This window comes from Homo sapiens, chromosome 8 (genome assembly GCF_000001405.40).
Source record: "Homo sapiens chromosome 8, GRCh38.p14 Primary Assembly".
NCBI classification, from domain to species: Eukaryota; Metazoa; Chordata; class Mammalia; order Primates; family Hominidae; genus Homo; species Homo sapiens.
This window is the reverse complement of record NC_000008.11, coordinates 10,653,951-10,667,070: the sequence shown is the minus strand read 5'-3', so window position 1 is coordinate 10,667,070 and position 13,120 is coordinate 10,653,951. Positions and strand designations below refer to the sequence as shown.

Below are 13,120 nucleotides of genomic sequence, written 5' to 3'. Positions count from 1 at the left end.
CATGTTTAAGCCACCACACTTAAGTCATGGTACTCACAGCTCTAACATCTCCTAACTTATGACTATGGTACCAGGAGTGGGGTGCCATAAGTAAAAGAAGCTAATACTTGACAGGGACTGAATGAAGAAGGTAGGTAAAGAAAAATTAATATATCAAACATTACAGACTAAAAGCTAGTGACCTTGTGATGCATTTGAAAACGTTCTTAAAAACTGTGTCTCCTGCTGTACCTTGGATCATGTACCACACACTAACCAAGGCTGTAGCATTGCAGAATATGGCAGGAAGAATCGAGATTGCTAGCAGTGAAGTTCAGAGACAGAGAAATAAATCTGAACTAGGGTGGGACAGTCTGCAAGCAGAAATAGATGCAAATACAGCCTTTCTTTCTTTCTTTCTTTCTTTCTTTCTTTCTTTCTTTCTTTCTTTCTTTCTCTCTTTCTTTCTCTTTCTCTCTTCTTTCTTTCTACAGGGTCTTGCTCTGTTGTCCAGGCTAGAGTGCAGTAGTGCAATTATGGCTTACTGCAGCCTGAACCTCCTGGGCTCAAGCAATCCTCCTGCCTCAGCCTTCCATGTACCTGGAACCACACAAGAATAACACCAAACCTTGCTGATATTTTTTAATTTTCTGTTTTTTGTAGAGATGAGGTCTCACTTTGTTGCTTAGGCTGGTCTGGAGCTCCTGGGCTCAAGTGATCCTCCCACCTCAGCCTCCCAAAGTGTTGAAATTACAAGCATGAGCTACCACGCCTGGCCAAATACCGCTTTTCTAGAAGACACATCCTCTACCTGTGATCTGTAATCTATATTGAATGAGATCACTGCAATTTTTGTTGTTCATATGTTTATTTAAGATGATTTTTTAAAATTGTGACAAAATAAACATAGCATAAAATGTACCATTTAAACCATTTTACATGTACAGTATTATAGCATTAAATACATTCACATTGTTGTGCAACCATCATCATCACCCATCTTCAGAACTCTTTATTTTCCCAAACTGAAACTCTGTATGCATTGAACACTAACTCCCAGTTCTCTGGCAATCCCCATTTTACTTTCTGTCCGTATGAATTTGACTACACCAGGGACCTCATATAAGTGAGCGCTTGCAGTACTCACACATCATGCAGCATTTGTCCTTTTGTGACTGGCTTATTTCACTTAGTATAATGTCTTCAAGGTTCATCCATGCTGTGGTGTGTGTCAGAATTGTCTACTTTTTAAAGGTTGAATGATATTCCATTGTATGTATTTACCACATTATCCACCTCTCCATCAATGGACACTTGGGTTGCTTCCACCTTTTAGCTATTGTGCATAAGCTGCTATGAACCTAAGTGTACAGACGAGAACACTACAATATGGAGTCCTGCAGGATCGATGCAACCCAAGTGCTTCTATACCCCAAATTAAAGAATTTATAAGTAGTGATTTCAAAATGGCAGCCACAGTGGGATAAACGGCCTATCTCATCAGACAAAGCAATGGTCTCCTGGCAAAGACAGGCTTTAACCTTCTAGCTGGAGCTTATAGGTTTAGAAATTACCTCAAGTTGGTAGCTATATTTTAAGTGCTAGGGAATGGGGGATTGCACAGTGGCTATGTCCAATAAGTAAAAGACAAGTAGCTTCAGCCCTAAAAATTATGCCTGGATAAGATCTTTGGTTCCATGTGTTACTTGCATGAAATCAACTGGAAGCAATTACAACTAAAGTGAACTAAGTTTTGAGAAAACCATTTCACTATAGAAAACCCAACTTGACCTGCAACATCCTTTAACTCTTAAATCTCTGAAACTATTTGAGAACCTCGAAACCCAAATGAATAACAGGTAAGCTTTAAAAGCTGTGCATTTATGAAGAAGGTTATCATCCCAAACACTCTTCTGAGACAAAGCTAGGCAGACCAAGCTAGCTTAATAATAGACCAAGAGGAACATTCCAGAGAAAAAGCAATGGAGGACTAATGCTTAAGGGAGATTCACCCGGAAGCTGGAGCAAAATCGGCCAGGTTGGTTTTAACCAAAGAATGTAATCCATTGCCAAGACAGAGATCCCTCATTATTTTTGTTCAAGAGAATTTGATAATTGTCATGGCCCAGTGACTGCTGAGTGTTTCCCATTATTCTCTGTTGTTGTTGTTGTTTTGTTGTGTTTTGTTTTTTTGAAATGGAGTCTGGCTCTGTCACTCAGGCTAGAGTGCAGTGGTGCGATCTCCACTCACTGCAACTTCTGCCTCTCGGGTTTAAGCGATTCTCCTGCCTCAGCCTCCCAAGTAGCTGGGATTACAGGCACCTGCCACAACGCCCATCTAATTTTTGTAGTTTTAGTAGAGATGGGGTTTTTGCCAGGCTGGTTTCAAACTCCTGACCTCACTTGATCCACCTGCCTTGGCCTCCCAAAGTGCTGGGATTACAGGTGTGAGCCACCACGCCTGGCCAGTTCTCTTTTCTTGAAGGAAGTTTTTACTGCAGTTCCCTTCCTTTTCTGCCATTATGTATGGGATGTGCTAGGGGCAAACTCTTCGAGTTTGACTGTTTATAACTTACAAGGACCACATCTAGACTTGATAGAGAGGACAGCCTTCCCAGAGACCCTGTCTATCCCTTAGTGGAAGGGCCAATTGTAGGTGAATATGAAAAAGATGTTTATGGCTGAAGGGTCACTCCAGTGGGTGGATTGTGGCGGACATTGCTTGTGATCTGTCCAGTATTATTCTCTCCTAGTACTTTTACAAGAGAATTCCTATTTTTGGGGGGTGCCAACAGCAATGTACACTGTTAAAAAAAATGACATTTTGGTGCCTCCCTTGCAGATTGGATCAGTCATGTGACATGATCCTTGACAGCTTTTCTGGGCTTTGGGAAGCCCATTTACCCTTTATGCCTTTCTTTCCTCCAGCAGGGAATGTTTATCCATCCAGCAGGGATGATTGCTGGAGCTCTGGCAGTCATGTTGCAAGCACATGAATGGGCATCCCATCCCGGGGTCCCTGGAGAGAGCCAACGCTTGCTGCACCAGTCACTGATTCCTAACTCTTGGACTTTCTGTGATGTATGAGAAGGAAACACCCATATTTGAGTTAAGCTGCTGTCGCTTGCGCTTAGAGTTCCACATAGCTGCACTAGGTGCTATAGGCTTGAATTGCTGAGGCTCAGGTTGGGTCAAATGAGGTTGTGAGGTGGACCAGGCAGCGAGGGGCTGCCGTTCACAGAAGTAAAGTGATTTGCCAGAGCCAGGAAGTGGGGGTGTTGAGGCCTCAGGATGTCTCCTTTTGTCACCCATGTGAGCTGCACCTCCTACTTCCTCTCAGGTCCCTGAGAAAGGGACAGTCAGGCCGTCATCTTGTGAGACTTTTCCAGGACGGGGGGTGGGTGGGAGCATGGGGGTGGGGGCTGGGAAGCTTTCTCATCCACATAAAAGGAACTCCATCAAGGACAAATCATCGTGATGAAACTCGAGTCTACCCCATGGTGGACAGTTTCTCAGAACATCAGTTTGGGCTTGTGAGCTCGCAGCCTGTTAGACAGATCGGCAACCTTCATTTCCCTGGAGAAGTAGCAGCCAGAACATAGGCCTTGCTCCCAGGTTACCATAAGCGCAGGCCCCTGGAGATGGCAAGGGGAAGATAAACCGTCCAGAAAGGCCCTTTTCAAGACACGGTCAACCTAAGCATGCTTCAAAGCAGTCGTTCATTCATTCATTCACTCAACAAATGTTTACTGACCCCTTAACAGTAGCCACACTGCTAAGAGCATGAGCTACAGAGATGGCCTGTGAGGGCTTATATGATGCTGCCGTGACTTCCGGCACCATCTGGCGAGATCTGCTCTGCTGAATCCCCACTGCTGGGCTTTCCATGCCTCGGGCATGCTCCTCCTCACGCATTTGTGCCTTTTTCTTCTGTCCAGAATGCTGGTGCCTGCTTGGCCAGCTCACTTTGGCCAGGCCTTCATCTAATGTCACATCCTCGGATTGCATCCTCTGAGCATGCCTCTGCAACAGCTCCCCCTCCTCTCACCTCCCCACCCAGCTTCATCCTCCTCCCCGGCAGGTTACCCCTTACCTTGGACTGGTTTACTATGTGTCTGTCTTCCCCACTAGGATGTTACTTAGGACAGCAGGGGCCTGGCTTTCTCCCTGTGGGGACCTGTGCCCAGAGCAGTGCCTGGCATGGAGTTGACCCTTCCAATGTATTTGTTGAATGAAAGCACCCAGGTGGGGTGTCCAGAGCTCCCAGGACAGGGGAGGAGTACACCATGTCACCAGCCTGCACCTGGAATGTGAAGACAGAACCCTCAGGGGACTGGGATGGAGGAAAGGCGGGCCCTGACCCAGATGTGACCACTGGCTGCAAAAGGTGACTGCACCGGAGATAGAGCACGACTAACTGGGGATTGAGGGTCTGGCAGAGAGAGAGGAGATGAGCTGCCTGGGGCCAGCTGGGGATCTCTCTGCCCCGAGTCAGGGGAAGCGGGAGGGTGATGGGACCAACCATGAGGTGGGCAAAGAGGTGGGCGGTGGGGGGAGGTTGAGAAGAGCCATCCCTAGCACCACCCTAACTTTAGTGTGGGAAAGTGCAATGTGGAAGTGAGCTTTAGCTCTGGGGCATGCCCCCTGGGGAGAGTCTTTTGTTTTTAATAGTTTCTTTTTAATAGCTTGTTTTAATAGCTTTGGTTTTTAGTTTGTTTTTAATAGCTTCTTTGGTTGTGGAAGGATGGCTGTGGGCGATTCCTGGAGTCAGTGCTGGCTCAGGGCTCTATGTAAGAAGGGGCGAGCCTTCAATATCTGGACAAAAGTAGCTTCTCCAGCCAGGAAGGAGGTAGAGAAGTCACGTGGACAGCCAACACCGTCTGCCACAGTGGCATCGACCTTCTGCCCGGGGATAAGGAAATGTTGGCTGGAAAAGAGATGTGGCAGGACACTAGATGGGTAGGAAAGGTGGAGGATTAGGGCTCTTCGTGAAGAGGTTGGAGGCAAGAGTGAAGTGGGGGCAGTAGGGAGTTCCAGGGGAGATGCCACCAGGACACTCCTTCATGCAAGGAGGGTTGAGCCCGAAGGCTTGGTGTGCAGGGCTGCATACTGGTCACCCTCAAAAGTCCTCCCTTGCAGGCCTGTGAGCTAACCCCAGCTGCCTTTCCTAACCCCAACAGATGATAGATGAGAAATTGGCCGCAGTAAACCAGACTTGGGTCTCACTAGGTGTAAGCATTAACCCCCAAATGCCCTCATGGATCTGCGGAGAGATGCCAAGTTCCCTATCCAGTAAGACGGGGCTGGAGCCTGTTTGCCTGAATCTCTGAAAAGAGAGAGACCTCAGTCTGATTTTCACTTTACGAGAGAGCAGAGATGATGTCATTGTGGAGGTGGGGGCAGGGGTGGATCTGCAGAGGTTTGGAAGTGCATCTGTAGAGAACAGGACACCCGTGATTCCAAGAGTGGTCCTGCAGTACTCAGACCCATGTGGAAACTTAATTTCATCAAAGCCTGTCCTCTGTCTGCCTGGGAGGGCTGGCACACTGGCTGGAGGAGTTCCGGTCAAGGCCTCTCCTGGAGGGGAGGCTGTGGCTGGGAGGTCAGAGGCTGGGGAGGGTTGGTCTGAAGCAGCCTTTGGAAAGGAGGGAGCGATCTTGGGAGCCTGAGAGGTGAAAGGAAGAATTGGAGACCCCAGAACTTCAGCCCGTGAGAGCACTGCGTGTTTATTTGGTATCTCCTGTGCCTAGAACAGTGTCAGACACATAACGAAAAACCAGATCCATATTTGTTGAATTAATGAAAGAAAGAAGCCCCTGATGGTAGTAATTTGGCCAGCAACAGCCCTGGGGGTTTACCAGTTTACAACCGGTCGGGCACTTTGGAAATGAGCCCAGGTTCTCGAGTCCTCCCTTATCTGTGGTTCTGTTGAAAGGGGAGAGCTGAGCTGCTGGGGACTGTGGGAGTCGCACAAAAGCTGGGAGGACGGGGCCCTGAGTATGTGAATTCATGGTGTGAAGGGGGAATCAGGTCCTCCCAAACTTACAAGTTGGAGTCCTAACCCCCCGTTCCTCGGAATGTGACTGTATTTGGAGATAGAGCCTTTAACGAAGTAAATAAGGTAAAATCAGGTCGTATGAGAAGGGCCCTAATCCCATAGGACTGATGTCCTTACAGAGAGAGGAGATTAGGAAACAGACACTCACAGGACAGCCATGTGAGTACACAGGGTGAAGACGGCCATCTACAGGCCAGGAGCGGGGTCCCCAGAGAAACCAGCGCTGCCAACACCCTCCACTCGGACTTCCAGACTCCAGAACTGTGAGGAAATATGTTTGTGCAATCTAAGCCCCCGGTCTGTGGTCCTGTGTTATGGAAGCTGAAGCCGACTACAGTGTGGGTGCCAGCCTTGCATCGTTATGAGCCAGGTCGGTGGCTCCCTCTAAAGAAAGGGGAAAGACATGATGGCTCCCAGGGGAGAGAAGTGCTTCTCCAACAACGCCTGGGAAGGAAGAACCTATTTGTTTGGTTTAAAAAGTTTGAACCTATTGTCGGTCAGTACTTAAAAGAATACAATAAAAGGAATTATTAAAAAACGTATTAGACACACAAAATACGAGCCAAGCGTTCTTGCACCTGGATATCACCACAAAGTCAAATCGCTCTAAGTTTCTAAATGCATACCCACCATGTCTGCCCTTACCCCACTTTGTGTAAGTAACAAACTGCCCACAACTCACTGCTGGCTGCAATTCCTTTTGGAAGCACTGCTCTGAGGCCCTACCACTCATTCCAGGATTGCTCTGGCCTTAGAGATCAGACACATGGGGAGCCGTGTCCAGCGGGGAGCACCGAGGGGTCCTGCGAGCCACAACCCCAGTGATGGCGCCCTGTAAAGACCACGCATGCATGGACTGGCTGCCTGCAGCTGAGAGCCTTCTCAACAGTAAGGAGAAAAAACATGAGCATCTTTCCCACCCAGGAGTAAAGAGGCGTGCAGAGGGGAAGGAAAGAGAAGAATCCAGAGGGTAACGAGAAGACAAAACTCCTAATCCAACCACAGCAGCCACCTCAGCCCTGCAGTAAGGACTTGGTAGATTTCCTGCTGAAGTCCATTTGAGCTCATGTGACTGTAGAATGTCGCTTACTGTGGTGTCTGGGTAAAGACAATCATAGAGACAGAACTATAACAGGACACAGAGCAACTTCTTTCAGGGAGATTTGCTATTCCTCTGCAACGAGCAGAGGAACAATGTTAAGAATAGCTCATCTCCTATTATCCTGCCCAAAGGTCCGTGGAGATGGTGACTCAGGGAAGCTGGTGAAGATTTGGAGTAGCAACTGTGAGGGCTGGACCTGACCAGGGGATGAGAGAAACCTTGAAAAGAGCATCAAAGACTGGACCAGGGAATGAGAAAAATATTGAGGAAATGAATCAAAGTCTCAGTTAATGCTGAGACTGTGAATTTGAAGTAACCTAAATCCACAGAAGTGAGCAAATTCTTCCGGAAGCTTCCAGTTGGTGCAGTGGAGGAGAGGAAGGTAGGTCGTTGCGTTGATCTGCAAGAGAGTGTATGAAGTGTGTCCCATGAGAATGGGGCTAGGCAGACAGCCACTGTAGAACCAGGAAGCAGGAGAAGGCATGGGAGCAAAATGGCTGAAAGGCTACCGGGCAGTCCTGTGGTGAAAGCAGGAGAGGAGAGAGCTGTAGGCATAGGAGACTGTGGCCTGAGACTGAATTCTTTGAGTTTAGGTTTCTAGAGCTGATCACATCTGGGTGATAAAGCCTGGGGAACAGATGGGGAGTGAATTGGTGAGTTGGAGTGTGGATGAAGGGTGTTGAGTTGAGGGGATCTGAGGCCAGGTTGTGGGATGGGTGCCACACAGACATAGGGCCATCAGGGAACAGTGGCATTTCTCAAGTGGACAGGGAGATTCTGCATGGCCAGGTGCCAAACTCCTCATGAACGAGGGAGCGAGTCCATGAGGTCCAAGGACGACAGCAGCAAGGAGCTGCCAATGGTGGTGGAAGCTGACAGTGGGCATGCCCTTTGAAGGAAGGAGGGGCTGTGCCCACGTGTAAGAATGATGGCCCGGCAGCGGCAGCTTGTGGAAAACCAGCCCATCCCTAGGAAGGCCTGCGGTGGCAGAATTCCCTTGAGAACAGCTAAGGAAGTGACGGTCCAGAGGCTGCACTGTCCTGGGCTGTGTCCAGGTGATGTGGAGCTCGCTGTAGTTCTTACTCAGTGCATAAATGCCCCGTGGTTGGGTTTACATACCGGTCCCAGGAACCAGGCCCCAGCAACAAGCTGTGGTTCCTCCTCTCACCTTTTTAGGACCTGCGTTGTCCCCTCCCTCCTGCATCCTCAGTCTCTCCCCATCACCGGCCACTTCCTGCTGCCTGCTCTGGCTACCACCTTGTTTCTTTCCTGCCTTGCACTGGCAAACTTCCCAAACAAAAGGTTTGTCATTCCTGCCTCTATTTCCCCACCACCTTCTCACCTATAGTCTCTCTCTCTTCTGCCCTCTCCTCTCGACTGAACAGCTCTCTTGAAGGCCACCAGGGCTCCCTGCACTGCCAAGAACTGGTGCCATTTCCCTTTTATTCTCCTGGGTGTCTCAGCAGCCATGGCTGGATTACCATTCCTGCACCCTGCGAACACAATTAGCCTGTTTTCACACTGCTTTGCTTGACTCTTCTCTCTCCATTCCCTTTTTGATGCTTCATTCTCTTTCTTATATCTTTAATAAAATCCCTTCTTGGGGCTATGCTGTTCTCTCTACCCAAAGCACAGTGTATTGATGAGATGCATGGAGGCCAATGCCAAACTGCCTAGACCCAAATTCTGGCTCTGCCACATACCAGCCAAATGACCCTGGGAAATTAGTTCTCATTTCCATGACTCGGTTTCCTCATATCGGGAGTGGTATAATAATACCTACCTCCTAGGGTTTTTGAAACTCTAGACAGTGGCTGCTATATGGTAATTATGAAGCCTCTCTCCTTCCGAGCTCTCCCGTGTACCCCTCTAGCTCCAGCTAAGGCACATTTTAAGTCTTTATCAGACCATCCCATGAAATTAATTTCATTTGGAGTGAATTCATGTTCTCATTGCTGACTTTGTTGACTGTCTTTCTGTACATCATATTTGTCATGTGATTTTAAATGTTGGTTTCAGGCTCACCTAGAGTAGCGGGTTTGCTTTTGTTCTGTTTTCTCTCCCTCTCTATCTGCTACCCTCCCTGGGTAGTAGTTTTGTGGTGGCCCTCATGCAGTTTCCTAGTCAGAACCGAATCTCCTAGTGACATTTTTGGAGTTCTTCCTCTGCAAATATTTTGGGGGATATTCTAGACCCAGTCACCAGCCATGCGGCTGAATCTTTTTGTTCCCTCTTACTTATTATACCAATGTCTTCTTATAAACCAAATAATTTTTATAAGTTAGAATAAAGGTTATCAAACCCAGCAGTTATCAGCTGAAGTCCTGTTTCTTCATGCAGAGCCCAGAATATGAGTAGCACAAATGTATTTCAGATACTTTGTGTGTATTACACCAATGGCTTCCTATAAACCAGGGTTTCTCAATCTCATCACTGCTGACATTTGGGGCTGGGTAATTCTTTGTCATGGAGAGGGCTGTCCTGTGTATTGCAGGGTATTTAGCAGTGTCCCTGGCCTCTATCCACTGGATGTTAGTAGCACTCCCCCCTCCAGCTGACACAACCAAAAATGTCTTCAACCATTGCCACGTGATCCTTGGGCAACCCCTGCTCCACCAGCAGAGATCTAGTATCATAAAGCCATGCCCCCACACAGGGGTCAGCATTCCCTTTTACAGCTTCTGTGTCTTAAAGGTGTGGAGGAGCCCAGCCAGCCTGTGGTCTCAGTCCTACTCACTGCTTTGTGTTTTTCTTCTAATTTTGGGCAATAGAGATGTTTGCCTTTTGGGGAGTGTAGGGGGAAACCCTAGTTATATCTTTTTATTGTTCCTTTGTTTCATTTGGTCCCTCATGGCTATGAAATCGGAGCAGAGGGTATAAATTCATGCACAGATATTCTGCTTCATCTGGATCAAAATGCCCTCTCCTTTTCATCCTTCAGGAGTGATGTCCTCCTTCCCATCATGATAGTCTTTCTAGCTTTGGAATATTTATAGCACTTACTGTCAATAATAGTCACTTTGCATATTCTGCTTTCAGCCACTTGGAAGGGTTGTCAAAGTCTAGGATTGGTATTTTACTTTAACTGGCTTATCTTTTGTGGCTACAATTTGATGTTGGCTTCTCTGAGGTTTCTTTGCATATTCAGTAGTGGCTAAGAGGGCAGGTGGAACATAGTAGGTATTTGGGAAACATTGAGCCATGAATCTCTTGTTGGTTGGTACAAAGACCTCTGAGGCTCAGGTTCAAAAGTTCTAGCTACCGTCTTGCAGCTTTGAATCATTGAAGTAGGTTTTCTGTAGTACAAAGGCTATTTGACTATGCAACTCACAAAATCAGAGATGTTACACTTGGTCATTCTTCGAGGTAAGGGAGCCCTGGGTGCTGATTGCCTGGGGACAGTTGCGGTTTACTCCTGTCTTCCAGATGAAATTGATAATGTCTTGTTTCACTCCCCAAAGTGCCTTGGTTTAGCTGATAAAATATGCGGTAACCCCACTTTGAGGCCACTAAGTATACTCTCCTTTATAAGTGTGGACATTGAACAAATTATATTTTCCCTTTACTTACAATGTTTCCCCACATTCCCCTGGGGAAAAGAAGCTAGTGAAATGTTTTATTGCAACTCTGTGCTTATTCATGGATTTGGATGAACTGGCATTTACTGAATAGCAATGACTGCTGTACACTTTGCAGGTAGGTGCTCACTACATGTGAACCAAACGTACATCATCTGAAATGCCTTTGCGCTACTCGTATTCTGTGCTCTGCATGAAGCATCTGGACTTTGGCTGATCACTACTGTGTTTGACGATGCTTATGCTAACTTATTAAAATTACCTGGGCAAGCCTATCTTTCACCTACAGTGTGATCTGCACCCCAGAGCCAACATCCACACACATCTGATCACTGGGACTGACCTGCTGTGTCTGTCAGCCAGAAGCAAGGCTTAAGTGATTTCATTTGTGGAACTGATCAGTTCAATGCGGACTACACATACACTAAATCTTCGCCTCTTGATGGCAACACACCCTGAGTCCCCATGACTTCCACAGGCTGCCCTTCCACCTAGTTAATTTCCAGGGAGGAAACTGCCAGGCTGGAGGTCACAGTTTGTCCCCTGCCTCCAGGCAGCCCTGCACTTAAACAAGTGTATTCTAAACAAACAAAAAACAAATTTCCAGCCCTCCGAGAGAGTTGATTTGAACATTCCAGGCTCCTGTGGCTCCCCATAGGCACTGCCAACCTAAAACCAAAATGATCCATTTTGTCTGAAATGAAGAAGGAGGACCCTTCGAGGGGAAGCTGCTGTTCGGCTTTGGTGGAGAAAATGGCTGAGGACGGGTTGACTTCTCAGCTGCTTCTTTCGGGCCTCCACGTGCTGCCTCCTGCCCGATGCAATACCATCATGTTTCCTTCTCTGCTTTCTTCCGGGAGATGGAAAACAGTTCCCCACCTTTCCCCTGGTGTCCCCCACTCAGGACCTGGTGTTCCTGCCCAGTACCACGGTGGGCGGGGCGCTCCCCCAATCCTGCAGGCCTGTCATGGCCCACCCAGACAACTGGAACAGGGTGGGAGCTGCTGGTGCTCAGAGGGCTCCCCTGCAAGCCCCCAGGCTGTGTTTAACAGTCTTGACAAGTGTACCCTTGGGCAGAGGGCCAGGAACAATCCGTGTAACCCCATTAAGCTAATTATCCTCTCTGCAGATGGCCTCCCGCACTAATCCTCTTGGGTTTGCCATAATCCAGCTCCCTCTGGGGAGAGTGGCCAGGGTGGCAGGTCTCTGTGCAAATGGACCATCTGTTGGAGCTCAGGAGGCTGGGCTCCTGCCCAAGGGACTGGGGCCTCAGGCTCTCAGGCCAAGGAGAGTGGCCCCGAGGACTGTCCGGAGGAGGGTGGCCAGCCCTGCTGCCCAGAGGGACTGAGCCACTGGCAGGGAAGGAGGCGGTGTTCCCCCTGGCCTGACTTTCCTCCAAAGGACGTCCCCCTGAGGCTTAGGGGCTGAGCCATGCCCTTGTGCTCCCTGGAGGACGGTGAGTCAGCAGCTGCCTATGTCCCGCAGGGTCAGCCAGCCACCTGAGGGGCAGAGAGTCTTGGCTCTGGGAAGTCACAGCAAGTGGGGAGGCGTTTCAGCCTGAGAGCCTGGGAGGGATGTCTTGAACAGGATGCTTGCGGTGACGCAGGATCGGTTCTCTTCTGCAAGGCCTGCTGGGCTGTTTGGGAGCAGATCATGTTTAAACACGACACAGTGGAGTTTCAGGTTTCTGCTCGTTGATTTACAGGATGTTAGTATCACAGCCTGTCTGTTTCTCCCACCTGGACCTGGAGGGTGAGCAATGCAGTCGCTGGAGTCAGAGAGGGAGAAATCCCTCCTGAGGATTTCTTGGGGCTCTTGGAGAGGAGGGAGAGGTGGGCAGCTGCCCCTTGATTCCTGCAGGGTGAGGTCAGCTGGGGTGGGAGCAGATTCTGGGGAGGTGTCCAATTTGCTTCTTAGAGGACCGAGACTTCAAGAATCTCTGAAGACCCAGGGCAAATAGAGAGAGTGGTAAGGAAGGGGCATAGAAGGTCCCTATCAATGAGGTCATTGAATTTTCTCTACCCAGCTTCAAGGCTGGCATCCTGGGCCCATTTGTGCAGAAGAGACTGAGGCCCGGACAGATGAAGTCATGGAAGGGCCACAAAATCAAACTGGGGTCTGCTCTCTTTATGGTAATGACATCCCCCCAGCGGCCAGTCAAGTGCCAGTCTCCCGTCCCAGTTTTCTGGTGGAGAAAACGAGGCTTAGGGGAGATCAGTGGTTCCAACGGCAAGTGAGCAGAGATCCATGGCCCAGACCTCAGACGAGGTCCAGCGCGGCTGCAGCTAACTGTCCCTGTGCCTCAGATCTGTACTTCCCCATGGGACCATGCCCCACAGCCAGCTCATCCCCCTGCCCCAGGCTCCCTCCCCAGCTGCTGCACAGTGAAGGGAAAAGGAGCAA

At 48.8% G+C, this 13,120-nt stretch overlaps 1 protein-coding gene and 1 non-coding gene across 2 annotated transcripts in view; one reads left to right on the top strand and one right to left on the bottom strand.

Moving 5' to 3' along the window:
• On the bottom strand, nt 1–93 carry MIR4286 (microRNA 4286). Its single transcript, NR_036248.1, has one exon. It is a non-coding gene; the product is annotated as a microRNA 4286 (primary transcript).
• The window catches only part of RP1L1 (RP1 like 1), a 48,795-nt gene continuing 47,602 nt past the window's right edge, over nt 11,928–13,120 (top strand). Inside the window, exon 1 of the mRNA NM_178857.6 lies at nt 11,928–12,173. The gene's annotated coding sequence lies outside the window, so the exon portion shown is untranslated. The remainder of the gene's footprint in view (nt 12,174–13,120) is intronic.